At 41.6% G+C, this 20,925-nt stretch overlaps 1 long non-coding RNA gene and 1 pseudogene across 1 annotated transcript; both read left to right on the forward strand.

Moving 5' to 3' along the window:
• The first annotated feature begins 15,642 nt into the window (after positions 1 to 15,642).
• Positions 15,643 to 17,560, forward strand: LOC729681 (uncharacterized). Its single transcript, NR_147704.1, has 2 exons — positions 15,643 to 16,099; positions 16,203 to 17,560. It is a non-coding gene; the product is annotated as an uncharacterized LOC729681 (long non-coding RNA).
• Positions 17,561 to 17,775: 215 nt separating this feature from the next.
• On the forward strand, positions 17,776 to 17,847 carry LOC124901524 (uncharacterized; annotated as a pseudogene).
• Positions 17,848 to 20,925: the final 3,078 nt, after the last annotated feature.

Raw genomic sequence — 20,925 nt, forward strand, 5'->3', positions numbered from 1 at the left:
ATCCCATTTGCTTATTTTTGCTTTTGTTGACAGTGCTTTTGACATCTTATTCATAAAATATTTTCCCAGTCCAATTTTCTGAAGCACTTTACCTGGGTATTCTTCCAGTGGTTTTAGTTTCAGGTCTTACCTTTAGGCCTTTGATCCGTTTTGAGTTAGTTTTTGTACAGGGTGAGAGGTGGGGGTCTAGTTTCATTCTCCTGCGTGTGGGTATGCAGGTTTACCTGGCATTTAATGAAAAGACTGTCCTTTCCTCAATGAGTATTCTTGGCACCTTTGTCAAAAATCAGTTGGCTATAGATACATGGATTAACTTCTGGGTTCTTTATTCTGTTCCATTGGTCTGTGTGTCTGTTTTTAGGCCAGTACCATGCTATTTTGGTTTCTACAGCTTTGTAGTATATTTTGAAGTCAGGTAGTGTGATGCTTCCAGCTTTGCTCATTTTGGTTAGGATTGCTTTGGCTCTTCAGGCTTTTTTTTGTGGTTCCATTCAAATTTTAGATTTTTTTTTTCTATTTCTGTGAAGTATGCCATTGTTATTCTGATAAGGATTGCACTAACTCTGTAGATTGCTTTGGGTAGTATTGTCTTTTTAATAATATTAATGCCTCCAATTCAAGAGCATGGGATGTCTTTCCATTTGTATCCTTTTGAATTTCTTTCATCAGTGTTTTGTAGTTTTCCTTGTAGAGGTCATTTTCACCTCCTTGGTTAATTTGTTCCTAGGGATTTTATTTTTTATAGCTATTTTAAATTACGATTGCCTTATTGATTTTTTGTTTGTTTGTTTGTTTTGAGACAGAGTCTCGCTGGAGTGCAGTGGTATGATCTCGGCTCACTGCAACCTCCACCTCCTGTGTTCAAGCAATTCTCCTACCTCAGCCTCCTGAGTAACTGGGACTACAGGTGGCCACCACCACGCCTGGCTAATTTTTTTGTATTTTTAGTAGAAACAGGCTTTCACCATGTTGGTCAGGATGGTCTCGATCTCCTGACCTCATGATCCACCCACCTTGGCCTCCCAAAGTGCTGGGATTACAGGCATGAGCCACCACACCCATGCTTGATTTCTTTTTCAGCTAGCTTATTGTTCATGTATAGCAATGCTTCTGATTTTTGTATATTCATTTTGTATCCTGCAATCAACAGACTGAAAACACAGCCTACAGTATGGGAGAAAATATCTGGAAATTACACATCCAACAGGGGGATAATATCCAGAATATACAAGGAGCTCAAGCATCTCAACATTAATAAAACAATTAATTCAATTTAAAAGTGGGCAAATGAGCTGAACAAACATTTCTCAAAAGAAGACATACAGATAGCCAACAAATGTATTTTAAAATGTTCAACATCAGTAATCATCAGGGAAATGCAAATCAAAACCACAATGAGATATCATCTCACCCCAGTTAGAATGGCTGTTATCAAAAAGACAAAAAACAAAAAATGCTGGCAAGAATGCGAAGAAAAGAAAACTCTCATACACTGTTGATGAAAATGTAAACCAGTGCAACCCCTATGGAGAACAGTATGGAGGTTTCTCAACAAACTACAAATAAAACAACCTTATGATCTAGCAATCCCACTACTGGGCATTTACCCAAAGGAAAGAAAATCAGTATATTGAAGAGATATCTGCACCCTCATGTTTATTACAGCACTATTCACAACAGCCAAGATATGGAACCAACCTAGGTGTCCATCAACAGATGAATGGATAAAGAAAATGTGGCATATATACACAATGGGATACTACTGAGCCATAACAAACAATAAAATCCTGTGATTTGGAGCAACATGGATGAGCCTGAAGGGCATTATGTTAAATGAAATAAGCGAGGAATGGAAGATTAAACACCACATGTTCTCACTCATATGTGGAAGCCAAAAAAAAAAAGTGCATCTCACAGAAGCAAAAAGTAGAACAGAGGATGCTAGAGGCTGGGAAGGATGGAGGGAGGAAGGATGGGGGAGATCTGTTAAAGGACACAAAATCATAGCTAGACAGGAGGAATAAGTCTGAGTGTTCTATGCCACTGCAGGATGACCAGAGTTAACAGTCATAGCTTCAAATAGCTGGAAGAAGACATCGAATGTTCCCAACATGAAGAAATGATAAATGTTTGAGATGATGGACATGCCAATTACCCTGATCCGATCCCTGTACATTATACATCAAAGCATTACTATGTACCCAAGATTATGTACAATTACTATTTGCCGATTAAGAAAATAAAATAGACAAAGTTTAAAAAGTTCATGAGTTGCTGTTTCCTATGCATGTATAATACACATGTACATATAAACATATGACATAGATATACATGTGCATATATGTACACAATGTGCACATACAGTCAGCCCTCTGTATTCAAAGTTTCCACATCCATGAATTTGACAAACTGCAGATCAAAAAAATTAATCAATCAATAATAACAATGCAACAATAAGAAATAATACAAATGTAAAAAACAATAAACATAAAAACTATTTACATAGCACTCACATTGTGTTAGCTATTACAAGCAATCTAGAGATTATTTAAAATATACAAGAGGATGTACATAGATTACATGCAAATCCTACAGGACTTTATATCAGGACGGTGAGCACCTGTGGATTTTGGTAACCGCAAGGAGTCCTGAAGCCAATCCCCTGCAGATCCTGAGGGATGACTGTACATATTCAACATACACATGTGTTTGCATGTACATATACGTATCCAGTGTAATTGTACGTATGCTATGTAAGTATACATATGCAGATACAGACACATTTATTCTCAGACTTCCAAAGTCAATAAATAGAGTTTTGTTTTCAGTCGTGCCACACTCTCTGTATTGAAAGGGGGAATTAGATTTAATACTGCTTGGTAGCAATGGAGTAACATACCCATCTGATTTTTTTAAGATGGCGTTTTTACCTGTATCAAGCATTTTTTTTAAAAAAATCTAACTGCTATTAAACATGCAATATATTCTGCCCTTACATTTTTCAGCCATACCTCATATTCATAAATGGGCAGATTCTATGGCTGACAGGAAAGTGACAGATCATTCAAAACATACACTTTAAAAATAACAAGTGATTCTACAGACCTGCTGCTTATGAATTAGACAGGCAAGCCACTTATCCTACATAAATTTGTTTATGCATCTGTAAATTTAGAATAGCAAGTGCTGACTTCCAGAATAAGGGTTAGAAACAATAATGAATATGCGAGCAATTTCTAAATTTTAAGGTTATTTAGAAACACAAGCATTTTATTATAAATGCTAGTCCTGGAAAATTGATGTCATGTTTGTTATGGGACTTCTATTACCTCAAAGTCCTTTCCATGTCCTATCCTAAATCGAAGAGCCTCCAGTGACATGTCTTCCCGAACCTTCTATTTTTCTTTTTCTTTCTCGTCTGCATCTGTTTCTAACAGATGATGTAACACTTACATCTCTTTAAGAATTCTGCTGGGCTGCTTAGCAGGCTCCTCTGACCAATTTTATTGACTGTTGAGACAGATTTGAAAAAATCTGAGTTTTAGAATCAATATTTTAAAACGCAGTACCTTTCCAAAACTCTGTAAGCTGGCCCACAGCTATTATGGTTGATAAAGTGCTGACTCACACCTTTTTTTGTGGAAGAAAGAAGGCCGTATGTTTTAAGAGACACAGCCATTAGATTTTTTCATAAATGCAGGTGGAATCTCCACTTTGAAAAGTAAATACCTCCAGCATCCCCCCAAACCAATCATTTCATATAACTGGCCATTTTTACAAGACTCCAAATACACATTCAGGGACAATTTAGAGGTGGAAACCTGTGATTGTTCAAACCATTTGATCGCTTTTTCTTTTAAGGAGAATTAAGGCAGAGAAATCTGCTCTGTCCCAAGCTCAGGTGGGATACCACGCTCAGAGTGGGCTCTTTAGGAGGACTCCATGCCTGCAACAGCTGCCAACAGGGAGCACGCAAAACAGGTCATCCAACAGCCACATTTCAGGGAATCAGGGGCTCGCTGGCGGTTTCCAGACTGTTCTGTACTCTCACAAAAAGAAACACAAACCAACTTACTGTGGATTCGAGCCAGTCGAAGATATGCTTCCAAGAGCCAGAGAAAGGCAATGAGGTGATGGCGGGACTTCCAGCAGTGCCACAGCTGGGCGTGTGCTCACTTACCAGCTTACATACTGCCTGGGTATTGTTTATGGCCATTGCTTTTCTATGTGAACGTATGATGAGGGTTGATGTAAATCTATGTCAACCATATAATCCAATAAAGCAGGAGCTGTGTTTTATTAAAAAATAATAAAATTAAAGTACTTTAGGGATAAGCTCATGGTCTTGGGAGAAAATATATTTTCTCAGTGCCTCAATTTCTCAGTCCATGAAATGGGTGACCAGATACCATGATGTTATAAGGTGTTGTAAGACAGAAAAAAAAATAAAAATTCAAATTTAACTGGCATTCAAATCACCTGAGTCTCTTGTTGAAAAGTAGGTTCTGATTCAGCAGGTCTGGGGGGAGATCAGATATTCTGCCCCTCTAACCAGCTCCCTGGTGATGCTGAGGCTGTATTCTGGGGACCACACGGTGAGTAGCAGGGAGATAGAGGAGAACGCTATTCCTAGGCAGCATAGTGTTTTATGCTTCCTAGGGTTGCCTAGTCAGATAAATTGAAGAAAAGGAACTTTACAGTGAAATATAATCCAAATGCCATAAGGGCTATCAAAAGGCAAAGTGCATTAAAATATTTTATTAGAAACAAGATAGAACAATGGGAAGACTTGAGTAATTGTTTCCAGTCTACTTTCAATGTGTTTCCTGATGACCAACATCCAACTCATTTCTCCTGGCTCAGTTCAGCTAGTGAGGACTAAGCAGAGGTGTGTTATTCACACCTATTTAGATGCTGTGTCCTGGATTGTCGAGCACAGCCCTCATTTTAAAGTTCTGCTTCATCGCTCCTTTTAGCACATTCTATTGGATCATAAATCCTTAGTTCTGGTTCAGACAACATGGCCACTATGTTAGTTTAGGCTGTCTCACTGCTCTAACAGCTACGGTTTCGCCTTATGCTGGCTGGCGTCGAGTTGGGGCTGCACACTGTCCTTCGGGGCCCAGCTCTCTTCTTCCTAGTGGCTCTGCTGTTCCCTAGAGTCTCAAGTTCCTTGGGTCCTCTGCATTTGGGTGATGTTTTAGAGACCAGGCCTGAAAGTGGCAGACATCGCCTCGTCTCCTGGTGGGAGCCCAGCCCCATGACTCCCCTGACTGCAGGGCACGCAGAGCCAGACACAGGGCCAGGAGGGAAGGAAACACAGCATTCTCTCTGCCCGGCTGCCCATTTAGCACTAGGTGGATTATTAACTCTCTAAACAATGAAGAACACACTGGACTTGAAGAGTGAGTGCCAACAGGGAAGGGAAGGGATGGCAGCGGAACGTGAGCTCAGGACAGGCTCTAAGCTGGGCCTTGGGACCCATCTCTTGCCCAGGGAAAGGGGGTCTTTGGAGAACTGTTAGCTCCCTCAGACCAAATGCATTCCCACCACAGCCGAAAGGCCTCCCAGGAACTAGAGCAGTCCACGAGTGAGGCCCGGGAAGAGGAGTACAGGACAGTCTGCAGATACAGGGGGTCTCAGGTGCAGCTCAGACCTTAGGAATCTGAATATTCCCCCAAGGCCCATTCCACCCCATCCATGCCTGACAAAAACACTCCGCTTCTTGATGAGGAAGGAATCATTACCCGGGGCCCAACTGGACTGCCCCCAGGGGTGTGTGTAGGGGGTGGGGGGTGAGTGTGGTTGTGTGTGTGTTGTGTGGGGGAGTGTGGTTGTGTGCGGGGTGTGTGGTTGTGTGTGGGGTTGTGTGTGGAGTGTTTGTGTTGTGTGTGGTTTGTGTGTGTGTGTTGTATGTGATGGTGTGGGTGTTGTGTGTGATGGTGTGTGGTGGTGTATGGGATGTGTGTGTGGTTGTGTGTGAGGTGTGTGTGTGGTTGTGTGTGGGTGTGTGTGGTTGTGTGTGTGGGTGTGCGTGGTTGTGTGTGTGGGTGTGCGTGGTTGTGTGTGTGTCCGGGAATGGCAGGAGAGGGCCGTCACAGTTAATGTATATGTTACACTCAGAGAAGACTCTTACCACCAAAGCTCAATTATTTTTCAAACTCTAAATGCAGACAATGTAGCCATATGGAAAAATTGGTTGATGACAACAAAATGGTTTGTTGTTGTTGTTGTTGTTGTTGTTGTTTTGTAGTTTGGTAGATCATCTCTATCTGGCCGAGTATTGTTCAAACCCCCTCCTGAGCCTCAGCCAGGGACTGCTCTAGCTCCTGGAAGGCCACGTGGCTAGCGTTGGAATGGATTTGGCCCGAGAGAGCTAAAGATTCTCCAAAGAGAATCTTTGTCACAAATATGTTCCTTTAGCACCAACTTACATGACATGACTTTCGGGTCAAATGCAGGTGACAATGACCGGTCTGTGCGTCACACAGGGTTCCCACCGTCTGCTTAGGTTTTAAGGTGAAACTGATTCTAATGATGTTTTCAGTCTGTGTGGTTTTGTGTGTGAAACTAAAGGCTTGCTCTAAGAAAGCACATGGGGCTGAGGCAGGAGAATGGCGTGAACCCAGGAGGCGGAGCTTGCAGTGAGCCGAGATCGTGCCACTGCCCTCCAGCCTGGGCGACAGAGCAAGACTCCGTCTCAAAAAAAAAAAAAAAAAAAAAAAAGCACATGGGCGGGCTAATGATGATTTTGTCTCTGAGTTTGAAGGAATTCAGCCAGTGGGCGGAGGGAAAGTCCTCATTGTAGAAATTAAATTTATATCCCAAGGAAAGTCAGCCTCTTTTTGGAAAATCTCAGGTAGCATCCAAAATTTAGCAAATGGTTTGACCACGAACAGACACCACATGGAAACCTAGGAGCAGTCAAAAGACCTGGCAGCCTCCATCTGAGGTACCTGGCTTTGTTCCTCTGTCACCACAGAGCCACCTGCCTAGGGGGCCTTCCCCACTCTCTAAAAGCTGAGGGGAAGCACAGACTACCCTGAGATATAGCTCTCAGATTTGCATATTTTTGTTTGACAAATATTTGGAATTATCCTTTTTTAATTTGAATGTCTCTTCATAACAAAGACAGGCCTAGAAAAAAATTGATGGGTCAAGAGAGTGGTATAGATTAAAAAGATAAAAAGTACCCAGTTTCCAGTGTACCTTTTGTTTGCCAGAGAAAGAAGGAGGAAAGGGAAGCACGGAGGGTGAGAGGAATCATGAGTACAGATATGTCTTCTAAAGGGCACCCAAAAATGACACACACACAACCCTAATCATGGGTTTATGTATAAAGTACCTTAGAATTAAGTCAGAGTCACTGTAGGCTTGGAAAAGTATTCAAGGGGAAATTTAAAATGCATTACCTCAAACTTTTGTTAGTATATTTGAAGCTATTCCACTTTAAAACTTGCCATACATTCCCATCTCAAATAACCAAAGGACTTTCAATCTGCTGAAGGTTCTATTTCAGGTCCTCTAGTTTCCACCACAATCTTCCACTGAAGTCTGCAGAAGCTCCTTCAGTCAGTGGCCTGGAAAACAGTATGGACCCAAGTGTGCCTGTCTCTCCTTTACTCTGATCTTTCTCACTCTGGGCGCACGCGGTAGCAGCAGCACCCAGCCCCAGTGCACTCTGCTGGGGAAGCAGGGGATGAAGCATAAGCGAGAATACGGTGTTTCTCCTTCTTCCCTGCCACCACCATTGCTGAGAAAACTTGTACGGATGTGCCCATCCCAAATGTTCATGAAATGCTCTCACATTTATAGGGCAGGCCCCTGCGTGGAAAATGAGGAAAAAATACTGGAGTTGAACAAACTGGCTCTGAATCCTGCTTTCCAAGTTACAACTTTGGGCAAATTATTTAACCTCTTTAAAACTCAGTTTCTTAATTGGTAAAAGGGGCATTATCACAGTTCATTCAGCATTGCATTGAGATTTAGTGAGCTGGTTGTCAACAGCAGATAATCAATTGCATCCATTTATTATGTCCCATCATGGACACATTCTCAAGGACAGCAGCTCTCTGATCACCCTGGCTCTCTACTGCATTAGAAATTTCTATATTTCTTTTTTTGTTGTTTTTTTAGACAGAGTCTTGCTCTATTGCCCAGGCTGGAGTGCAGGGGTGCGATCTTGGCTCAATGCAACCTCCACCTCCCTGGTTCAAGCAATTCCCCTGCCTCACCTCCCAAGTAGCTGGGATTACAGGCACAGGCCACCACGCCCAGCTAATTCTTTTGTATTTTTAGTAGAGATCGGGTTTCACCATGTTGGTCAGACCGGTCTTGAACTCCTGACCTCAGGCAATCCGTCTGCCTTGGCCTCCCAAAGTGCTGGGATTACAGGCATGAACCACTGTATCTGGCCAGAAATTTCTCTATTTCTAATGGATGATTCCCATCAAGACAAAGTCAATCTCCAGTATATCTCTGTTTAAAACTCTGTACCTTGATTTTACACCCCATTTCTGTTTTCTTCATAGACAAACTATCTTAGTCCATTTTGCATTGCTATAACAGAATACCACAGACTACCCCAATAGTTTAAAAGCAAAAGAATTGTACTTCTTACAGTTCTGGAGGCTGGGAAGTCTAAGAGCATGGCACTGGCATCTTGTGAGAGCCTCTTGCTACATCGTAACACGGTAGAGGGCATCACATGGCGAAAGGGGAAGAGGGTGACTGTTAGCTCAGGCCTCCCTTCCTTAAAAAGCCATCAGTCCCATCTTAGGGGCTCCACCCTGATGACCTCATCTAATCCTAATTACCTCCCAAAGGCCCCACCTGCAATCAACACATGAATTTGGAGATTACATTTTCAACACATGAAATTTGGGGAATACATTCAAACCATAGCACAGCTTTTCAAAGATTTATCTACAAATGCTGCCTTCATTTTTACCACTGATTTATTTCTCTTCATCCTTTAGTTTAGCTTCCACCCCCAATATGCCACTTGTCATGCATAACCTCCATTTTATCAAATTTCTGTCCTGATCTTACCTCAGGTAGCAGTCTTCATAGCTGAGACTCCATCCTAAAAACACCATCCTTTCTGGCTTCTGCCATTTTGCTCTATTCTGGGTTTCCTTTCACCTGGATAGTTACTCCTCGTCTGTCTTCTTGGTGAGATTCTCCTCCCCTTTTGAACCCTAAATATTTTGTGATCCTAAGCTTTCTCATTTTTCCTAGGAATTTAATTATCATCTTTATGCCATGAACTCTAATGTTAATCTCTAGCCCAGACTTTCTTCCAAGCTTCAAACTTTTATATCCAACTGATGTGATATCACTGCCATCTCAAACTCAGCATTTCTGAAAAAAAACTCTTTGAAATGTACAGCCAGCACCCAGACCCTTCCTCAGTACACAGGGCACCATTCATTCAGTTAAACCTAGCCATTGCACACAAATTCCCCCTTTGTTTTCAGGTTCACATCCAATTCCAAGCAAACCTGGTCAATCAACTTCCTGAATGATCCCAATCCTCCTCTTGGTTCTGTCTCCATGTGTCCAACATGTCCTCTCATCTTTCATGGAGATGAATGCCAACACCCAACAGGTCTTTCCGTACTTATTACTGTGTCTTAGCCCCTTCAGTTATCCTCTTTTTCTTTCCTGAAAACTACTCAATGATTTCCCAAATTTCTTATCATGACTTTTACAACCCTGCATGTCTTACAGGTTTTTACCTATCTTATCTCTCTAACCTCATCATAATCTACTCTTTCCCTCAACTCACTCACATGACATTTAGTTGGTTCCTAGAATATGCCACATATGCTACATTTTTTTTTTAACTGAAGGGTTCTTCATACAAGCTGTTTCCTCTGTCTGGATTTCTCTTATCCAAACAATTTGTATGACTAGCCTTTTTCATGCTTTGTGTCTAAGAAAACATCACACTCTAAGAAGTTAGTTCCATCTCCCACATTCTATAATGACAGCCTTGTTTGTTTGCTCTAGAGCAAGTTCTCTTAGAGTTGGGCTCAGACTGTCTTTTTTTTTTTTTTTTTTTTTTGAGGCGGAGTTTCGCTCTGTCGCCCAGGCTGGAGTGCAGTGGCGCGATCTCGACTCACTGCAAGCTCCGCCTCCCGGGTTCACGCCATTCTCCTGCCTCAGCCTCCCGTGTAGCTGGGACTACAGGCGCGCGCCACCATGCCCGGCTAATTTTTGTATTTTTAGTAGAGACGGGGTTTCACCGTGTTAGCCAGGATGGTCTCGATCTCCTGACCTCGTGATCCGCCCGTCTCGGCCTCCCAAAGTGCTGGGATTACAGGCGTGAGCCACCGCGCCCGGCCAGACTGTCTTGTTTAACATTGTGCCCAGCACCTAGCACAATGCTTGACACATAGTAGGTCCTTAATAAATATTTGAAGAGTAGATAAAAATTATTATATTTAATAATAAAACTTGCACTGCCTACTTCATAGGGTAAGGAAAATCGAACAGAACATGTTATTGGAAAATACTTTGCAATTGTAATACAATTAAAGTAAAATATATTAACATTTTACCTACTATGCATATATATTGGTACATTTCAATATATGTGATATCTCATCCATAAAGGCCATTGATATTTTTTAAAGGAACACATATGTATAATTTTAAAAAATCCTCTTCAGCAAGTTAACTTTACGTGCTAATACCATTAATATGGGAGCATGTTTTTATTTATCTAAAATTATATCTATTTACTTTCTGGCAAGCTGTGTTTTACCAGTTGGAATGCTTTTGTCTGTAAGTAACAAAAAAACTACAATCAAAGCAACAACAATAACAACTTGACTCAAGCTGACTTAAAGTATAAAATAATAAGGAGCTTTATAATCTCACATAGCAAGAATGCCAGAGGTAGGTGTAGTACAGGGTTGGTAAACACGGTCCCTCAGAGAGCTCATCTGAGGCTCAGGGTCTCCGATGGACACATCTCTGCACTCTGCTATCCTTAGACAAAGACACTCCTTGACTCAGGCTCCTCTGAGCCCGCTCTCGGCTGATGGTATAGATGAAGGTGGTGGCAATGGATATAGGGGAAATTGGGAGTTTTAAGATATCTTTTAAAGCTTGAAACCACAAAACTGACTAAAGAATAGGATGATGGGAAAAGGTAATCAGGGGTGACCATCTAGTTTGAGAAACTGGGTGTGTGGTTGGTGATGCCACTTACTGAGATGGCGAGGAAGCAGTTTGGGAGGAGGAATCAGGAATTCCATTTTAAACAGGTTACATTTGAGTTGCCTGTGAAGCGTCCAGTAAGAGGTATTCCTAAGATGATGTAATAGTCAGACTTCATTTCAAAAGAAATATCTGAGTTAGGGATATAATTGGAGTCTTCTCAATTTGCAAATGACATTTATAGCCCTGGGAATTAATGAAGTCACCTAAGGAAAGAGTACTGATAAAGAATGGAGTGTGGTTAAAGAAGGCAAATGATTTCTTTCTGTTTTTAATTTAACTTTTATTTTAAGTTCAGGGGTACATGTGTTATATAGGAAAATTTGTGTCATAGGGGATTTGTTGTACAGATTATTTCCTCACCCAGGTACTAAGCCTAGTATCCAATAGCTATTTTTCCTGATCATTTCCCTCCTTCCACCCTCCATCCTACAATAGGCCCCAGTGTGTGGTGTTCCCCACCATTTGTCCATGTGTTCTCATCATTTAGCTCCCTCTTACAAGTAAGAGCATGCAGTATTTGGTTTTCTGTTCCTGCATTAGTTTGCTAAGGATGATGCCCTGCAGCTCCATCCATGTTCCTGAAAAGGACATGATCTCATTCTTTCGTATGGCTGCGTCGCCGTCTATGGTGTATATACAGCATATTCTCTGTATCCAGTCTACTAATGATGCACAGTTACGTTGATTCCATGCTTTTGCTATTGTGAGTAGTGCTGCAGTGAATATACATGTGCAGGTGTCTTTACAATAGAATGATTTATATTGCTTTGGGCAGTATGGCCATTTTAACGATATTGATTCTTCCTATTCATGAGCATGGAATGTTTTTCCATTTGTGTCATCTCTGATTTCTTTGAGCAGTGTTTTGTAGTTGTCCTTGTAGAGATCTTTCACCTTCCTGGTTAGTTGTATTCCTAGGTATTTTATTTTGTGTGTGTGGCAGTTGTGAATGGGAGTTTGCTCCTGATTTGGCTCTCAGATATATACCCAGTAATGATATCCAGTAATGGGATCATTGGGTAGAATGGTATTTCTGTTTTTAGGTCTTCGAGGAACTGCCACACTATTGTGTCTTTCACAATGGTTGAACGAATTTACACTGCCACCAACAGTGTATAAGCATTCCTTTTTCTCTGTAACCTCGCCAACATCTGTTATTTTTTGACTTTTCAATAGCCATTCTGACTAGTGTGAGATAGTATCTCATTGTGGTTTTGATTTGCATTCCTCTAATGATCTGTGATTTGAGCTTTTTCTCATATGCTTCTTAGCTGCATATATGTCTTCTTTTGAAAAATGGCTGTTCATGTCCTTTGCCTACTTTTTAATGGTATTGTTTACTTTTTTCTTGTAAATTTGTTTAAGATCTTTATAGATGCTGGATATTAGACCTTTGTAAGATGCATAGTTTGCAAAAATTTTCTTCCATTCTATAGATTGTCTGTGCACTCTGTTGATAGTTTGTTGTGCAGAAACTCTTTAGTTTAATTAGATTCCATATGCCAATTTTTGCTTTTTTGCAATTGCTTTGGTGTCTTTGCCATGAAATCTTTGCCCATTCTTATGTCCAGAATGGTAATGCCTAGGCTGTCTTCCAAAGTTTTTATAGTTTTGGGTTTTATGTTTAAGTCTTTAATCCATCTTGAGTTAATTTTTGCATATGGTCTAAGGAAGGGATCCAGTTTTAATCTTCTGCATATGGCTAGCCATTTATCCCAGCACCATTTATTTAATTTTTGTATATGGTGTAAGGAAGGGATTCAGTTTCAATCTTCTGCATATGGCTAGCCAGTTATCCCAGCGCTATTTATTGAATAGGGAATACTTTCCCCATTGCTTGTTTTTGTCACATTTGTTGAAGATCAGAGGGTTGTAGGTGTGCAGGCTTATTTCTCGGTTCTCTTTTCTGTTTCATTGGTCTATCTGTCTGTTTTTGTACCATTACCATGCTGTTTGGGTTACTGTAGCCCTGTAGTATAGTTTGAAGTCAAGTAACATGATGCTTCTAGCTTTGTTCTTTTTGCTTAGGATTGCCTTGGATATTCGGAGTCTTTTTTGATTCAAAATGAATTTTAAAATAGTGTTTTTCTAGTTCCATGAAAAATGTTGATGGTAGTTTAGCACGAATAGCATTGAATCTGTAAATTGCTTTGGGTGGTATGGCCATTTTAATGATATTGATTCTTCCTATCCATGAGCATGGACTGTTTTTCCACTTGTGTCATCTCTGATTTCTTTGAGCAGTGTTTTGTAGTTATCCTTGTAGAGATCTTTCACCTTCCTGGTTAGTTGTATTCCTAGGTATTTTATTTTTTGTGTGTGTGGCAATTGTGAATGGGAGTTTGCTCCTGATTTGGCTCTCAGCTTGACTGTTGTTGTTGTATAGAAATGTTAGTGATTTTTGCACATGAATTTTGTATCCTGAGACTTTGCTGAAGTTGTTTATCAGCTGTAGGAGCTTTTGGGCCAAGACTATGGGGGTTTTATAGATAAAGATCATGTCGTCTGCAAACAGGGATAGTTTGGCTTTCTCTCTTCTTTTTTGGGTGTAATTTACTTCTTTCTCTTGCCTGATTGCCCTGGCTAACACTTCTAACACTATGTTGAATAGGAGTGGTAAAAGAAGGCATGTTTGCCTTGTGCCAGTTTTCAAGGGGAATGCTTCCAGCTTTTGTCCATTCAGTATGATGTTGGTTGTGGGTTTGTCATAGATGGCTCTTATTATTTTGAGGTATGTTCCTTCAATACATAGTTTATTGAGAGTTTTTAATATGAAGGGGTGTTGAATTTTTTTGAAAGCCTTTTCTGCATGTATTGAGGTAATCATGTGTTTTTTGTCTTTGGTTGTGTTTATGTGATGAATCACATTTCTTGATTTGCCTGTGTCGAACATTGCAATCTTGCATCCCAGGGATAAAGCTTAGTTGATCATGGTGGATAAACTTTTTGATGTGCTACTGGGTTTGGTTTACCAGTATTTTGTTGAAGATTTTTGCATCAATGTTCATCAAGGATATTAGCCTGAAGTTTTCTCTTTTTTTGTTGTATCTCTTCCAGGTTTTGGTATCAGGATAATGCTGGCCCATAGAATGATTTAGGGATGAATCCCTTCTGCTCAGTTCTTTTAGAATAGTTTCTGCAGGAATGGCACCAGCTCTTCTTTGTACATCTGGTAGAATTCAGTTGTGAATCCATCTGGTCCTGGGCTTTTCTTGGTTGGCAGTCTATCAGTTTCAGACCTTGTTATTGCTCTGTTCGGGGATTCAGTTTCTTCCTGGTTCAGTCTTGGGAGGGTGTATGTGTCCAGGAACTTATCTATTTCTTCTAGATTTTTTGGCTTATGTGCATAGAGTTGTTCATAATATTCTCTGTTATTTGTATTTCTGTGAGGTCAGTGGTAATATCCCTCTTGTTTTTGATTATGTTTATTTAAATCTTCTCTCTTTTCTTCTTTATTAACCTAGCTAGTGATCTATCTACTTTATTAATTTAAAAAAAAAACAGCTCCTGGATTTATTGATCTTTTGAGTGGTTTTTCTTGTCCCAATTTCCTTCAGTTCACCTCTGATTTTGGTTATTTCTTGTCTTGAAGGCAGATGATTTCTTATGGAGGTGAATATTTGCTTATGTAAGGCCCAGCCTTCTAAGGACCCCATTTCTACATATCTGTCCCAGAGAAATGAAAAGCTTATCTTTAACTGAAAAACCTGGACATGAGTGTTCATGTCAACATTATTCATAATTATTCAAAACTGGAAGCAACAGAAATGAGGCCAAATCTGGAGGCTTTATCTGACCGTTATGATCCACTAACCTCCCGTCGTGCAGAAGACTGTGTGTTACTCTCACGTCTGCATCCAAGGGATCGCACCATGCAGTGGAGATCACAACTGCCCCACGGAGGCAGAGATTAAGAAGATAGGCAGAACACGCATTGTCATTCCCAGAAGGGTGGTTGTTTATAAATCTGAAACCAAACTATTAAATAACAGCAGCTGTAGCGCTCCTCTTAACCAACAACATAACAAAAATATCTCCAGTTATTCTGACCAAGGTCTGCACAGAGTCAGCCCTAGAATTCTGACGCAATCCCACTAGAAAATACTGGATAAGTTTTTCTCCTAAAATGTTAGGGAATTTGAGAAACAGAGTCACATCACATACTTCAACAGAGTACAGTTCAACAAACTCAGCCTATCTTCATCACACATTTTAAAACCGAATTATGTATGCAACTCCTTTCTGTAAAACAAACACTCTTTCTTTTTTCTTTTCTTTTTTTTTTTTTTTGAGACAGAGTCTGCCTCTGCCGCCCAGGCTGGAGTGCAGTGGCGCCATCTCAGCTCACTGCAACCGCCGCCTCCCGGGTTCAAGCAATTCTCTGCCTCCGCCTCCCGACCAGCTGGGATTACAGTGACGCGCCACCATGCCCGGCTAATTTTTGTATTTTTAGCAGAGACGGGGTTTCACCATCTTGCCCAGGCTGCTCTTTAACTCCTGACCTCGTGATCCACCCACCTCGGGCTCCCAAGGTGCTGGGATTACAGGCGTGAGCCACCGCGCCCGGCCAAAACAAACACTTTTACGACAATTGAAAAATAGAAGTTTCCAATTCAATTTTGCAACTAAAAAATAATAATAATGTGGTGCCTTCATGTTAAACTTTGGAAAAAGCCAGGGAAGTGGCTTGCTCTGGTGAATAAATTCTGTAGACCCTTAAGGCTGTTCGCAGCGTACACCAAGACTTCCGAGGCAAGTGGGGGCTCCCCCTGGCGGCTGCGCCGGGTGGCTGCTCCGGGATTGTGCGGACCTCCGAGCTACACCGTCTCCAACCAACAGAAGCCAGCAGGAACCTGCCTTAGATGTGGTAAGTGATCTAGCTAAGCACCGTGGACAGAGAGAGTTGCAAGAAAAATGGTGGCATAAAGTAACTGATCCTAACATTTCACCTACGAATTGACCCCTTGCAGGGAATGAGACAACACAACTTCTCCCATAGGCCTGGTGGTCAGAGAGGCTGGATCAAGAATCTCCACAGCCCAGCGAGAAGCCACGCGAACACACCCCTGTGTGGGTATCCGTGACCTGGCGGCCTGCAGAACTCCTGGGCCAGAGACGTCCTCATCCTGTTGGAATATCCAGGTATCTCCACTCCGAATATCCTCATCTTCCTGGAACCCCTCTTTTTCTCCTAACATTCTCTTAAATGAAATTCCATATCTGCTACAACACAGAAAGAGAGGCGGAACAAGAAAAACTGGTGATCCACTAATAAGAAGGCCCTGGAGCCTCTCGATGTTTAATCTTCTCAAGGGATGAGAATGTGTCTCGTACTTCTCAGCATCTGAAACGCAGCCTTCGCTAATGGGTCAGTTTCACTGGACGTACTCCCAGGATCATAGATGGCAGCCGGGGAAGGCAGTGAGGGTGGAAATGTCTCACTAGGCTGAATTGAAGTGAGGCCTACCCGTTGCCTCCTTTGCATGTGTTTAAGTATTAGAAGAATCTAGTAATTTGCCCATAAGAGATAATCAAACAAGAAAACAAAGGTGTATGTGCAAAGATTTGAATCTTAGCTTTATTTGAAATAACAGAAAATTGGAAGTCAATTCATGTCCATCAGCGTGGGGCTGGCCACCTGCCAATTCATGTCCATTTCCCTGGAGGGAAATGACCCAACCATGGAGAGAACGATGTTCACTGATTGCATTGGCGTGGCAAGAACTCCATGGCATGTTGCATCATGAAGAAAGCTGCCCCGCAAAATGAGATGCGATTGACGTTGATGTGTCTGTACTTGTGCAAAGAGAGATTTGGGAAAGGAAGTTTACTGAAGTGTTAACAATGGGTTACAAGTTTTGAAGTGATTTTAATTTCTTTTTTTTTAAGTTTCTGTTAGGCTGGGATTTTCCCCATAGATATGCATCATCTATGTCAGCAATCCCCAACCTTTTGGGCACCAGGACAGGTTTCGTGAAAGACAATTTTTCCACGGACCAGGAGTGGGAGGGACGGTTTCAGGATGATTCAAGCACATTACGTTTATCATTAGATTCTCACAAGGAGCATGCAAGCTAGATCCCTTGCATGCCCAGTTCACAATAGGGTTCGTGCTCCTATGAGAATCTGATGTTGCCACTGGTCTGACAGGAGGTGGAGCTCAGCTTCGCTCACTTGCCCCACCACTCACCTCCTGCTGTGCAGCCCAGTTCCTAACAGGCCACAGACCAGTATACCAGTCTGTCACCTGGGGGTTGGGGATCCCTGATTTTTGTAATTGGAAGTAAAGTTGTTCGCATTACTTTAAAATAAAGACAGTACCATCGTTATAAAGTATTCTCTAAGTGCAATCATAGGGAAAAGTTCTGCTGAAAACTCTAGGGATGGTTAGTCGTTTTAGGGAAATACGGGGAACTAGATGGATTCTGGTTTTTATTTATCTTCCTTCAAAACAGCTACTAGTAATCTGCAGAAAAGATGCATGGGAAATAAACCAGGAAAACTGAGCCCAAAGTGAGGTGCAAAGGTTCTAAAAGGATCAGTGGTCAATGATGTCGTGGCATGTATCAGCTGAATCCAAAGTTGATGTGAGTTCCAAAATTATACTGAGACTTTGGGGGAAAACAAAGGCTCAGCTATGCTCATCCATCAGATTTCAGTTCCTTCATCAGTTCCTTGAGTGGCCACCACTTCTACTGTGATAAGTCACCACTGACCTGGGCCACTGCTCTGTTCTCATCACAGTTACAAGGTGAGATTTCTTTAAGAGATTATTTGACTAACAATTGGCCTCACCCATTTGATTGTGAGCTTCGTGAACACATGCAACATTTCCTTTTTTTTTTTTTTTTTTTTTTTTTTTTTTTTTTTTTTTTTGAGACAGAGTCTCACTCTATCAGCCAGGCTGCAGTGCAGTGGCACAATCTTGGCTCACTGCAACCTCCACCTCCCGGGTTCAGGTGATCCATCCACCTCAGCCTCCTGAGGAGCTGGGACTACAGGTGAGGGTCACCATGCCTGGCTGATTTTTGTATTTTCTGTAGAGACAGTGTTTCATCAAATGATCCACCTGTCTTGGCCTCCCATAGTGCTAAGATTACAGGCATGAGCCACCATGCCCAGCTATTTTTATTTTTATTTAGTTTTTGCTAATAATGTAATCCTTGGTGGCTGACACATATTAGGGGCTCAAAACAAGTTTGAGTAAATGAATAAAAGCACTACAGTGTGAGCTTAAAAAATAATTGTAACACTTGCACTGTGGAAACACAAATTACCTTACTGATCTGAAAATTGCATTTTGTACTTTTTGCTTTAATTGCATATTTTGAAAAAAGAAATGCCTCATAATTTTTCCTTGACTGTTATTTCATTTTCTTTATTCCTCAAACATACTGTAGACGTTGGAGGAAACACCAGAGCCTATACAGGGATGGTTGATTGTGAGAAAAGGTAAGACAAGTAAGTCTCTCTATTTGAAACCCTGAAACCTTGTTTTTCAGCAGGCACATTGCATGCATGATCAAACAGATTAGTGTGGTTCTAATTGGTAAACCATTAATAAGCCATAGAATATAATCAAGATCATTCAGAAAGATACACAAGCAAATCCACAAAAGGGGATTAGAAACCCAGTGTGTTCAGGTATTCTTGCATTGCTGTAATGAAATACCTGAGGCTGGGTAATTTATAAAGAACAGAGGTTTAATTGGCTCATGGTTCTGCAGGCTGTACAGAAAGTGTGGGGCCAGCATCTGATGTGCTTCTGGTGAGGGACTCAGGAAGCTAACAATCATGACAGAAGGCAAAGGGGAAGTAGACATCTCACATATAATGAGAGCAGGAGCAAGAGAGAAAGTGGGGTGGGGGCAGGTGCCACACACTTTTAAACAACTACATCTCACAATAACTCACTCATTCTCATGAGGACAGCACCAAACCATTCATGAGAAATCCACCCCTAAGACCCAAACACCTTCCACCAGATCCAAGACTGAGGATTACATCTCAACATAAGATTTAGGGAGACCATCCAAACTATATCATTCTGCCCCTGGCCTCCCAAATCTCAGGTCCTTCTCACATTGCAAAATAATATCGTGGCCTTCTCACATTGCAAAATAATCTCTTTTCAATAGTCCTCCAAAGTCTTAACTCATTCCAGCTTTAACTGAAAAGTCCCATGTCCAGATGAGTTCCTTCCACCTGTGAGTCTGTAAAATCACAAGAAGTTATTTACTTCTGAGATACAATGGGAGTACTAGAATTGGGTATATATTCCTGTTCCAAAAGGTAGAAATTGGCTGAAAGAAAAGGGCTATAGACCTCACACAAGCCTAAAAGCCAGCAGGAGAGTCATTAAATCTTAAAGCTCCAAAATAATCTCATTCGACTCCATGTCCCACATCCAGGGCACACAGGTGCAAGGGATGGTCTCCCAACGCTTTGAGTAGCTCCATCCCTGTATCTTTACAGGGCATAGCCCCTACAGCTTCTCTCACAGGCTGGAGTTGAGTGCCTGCAGCTTTTCCTGGTGCAGGGTGCAAGCTGCTGATGGATATACCATACTGGGGTCTGGAGTACAGAGCCTCTTTCCCACAGCTCCACCAGGCAGTGCTCCAGTGGGGACTCTTTGTGGGGTCTCCAACCACACATTTCCCCTTGACACTACCCTAGTAAAAGCTCTCTGTGAGGGCTCCACCCCTGCAGCAGACTTCTGCCAGGAACCCAGACTTTTCCATACCTCCATTGAAATCTAAGGGGAGGCTGCCAAGCATTCTTCAGTCTTACATTCTGTGTGCCTTCAGGCTTAACACCACACAGAAACACAAAGGCTTATGGCTCCTGCCCTTTATAACAGCAGCCAGAGCAGCCAGGATGTGGGGACCAGTGTCCCAAGGCTGTGTAGGGTACTGGGGTCCTGGGCCTAGCCCACAGAACCATTCTTCCCTCCTAGACCTCTGGACCTGTGATAGGTGGGGCTGTCTAGAACAACTCTGAAATGTCTTTGAGGCCTTTTCTCCATTGTCTTGGCTGTCAGCACCTTGCTCCCTTTCAGTCATGCAAATCTTTCTAGCAAGTGGTTGCTCCATAGCCCACTTTGATTCCTCTCCTGATAATGCTTTTTCTTTCTCTGTCATGTGGCCAGGCTACAAATTTTCCAAACTTTTACACACTGCTTCCACTTTCAATATAACGTTCAACTTTAAGTCATTTCTTTGCTCCCATATCTGAGCATAGGCTGTTAGAAGCAGCCAGGTTAGAGGCAGCCAAGTCACATGTTTAACACTTTATTGCTTTAGAAATTTCTTCCTCCAGATACCCTAAGTCATCACTTTTAAGTTCAAACTTCCATAAATCCCTGGGGCATGAACACGATACAGCCAAGTTATTATCACTATCAGCATTTTGGTCACAACCATTTAACCAGTCTCTAAGAAGTTCCAAACTTTACCTCATCTTCCTTTCTTCTTCTGAGCCCTCCAAACTTTTCCATCCTCTGCCTATTAACCAATTCCAAAGTTGCTTCCACATTTTCAGGTATCTTTATAGCAACACCTCACTCCTTGGTACCAATTTTCTGTGTTCGCCCATTCTCACATTGCTATAAAGAAGTACCTGAAGCTGGGTAATTTATAGAGAAAAGTTTAATTGGCTCATGGTTCTGTAGTCTATACAGGAGGCATGGTGATT

This window comes from Homo sapiens, chromosome 6 (genome assembly GCF_000001405.40).
Source record: "Homo sapiens chromosome 6, GRCh38.p14 Primary Assembly".
Lineage (NCBI taxonomy): Eukaryota > Metazoa > Chordata > Mammalia > Primates > Hominidae > Homo > Homo sapiens.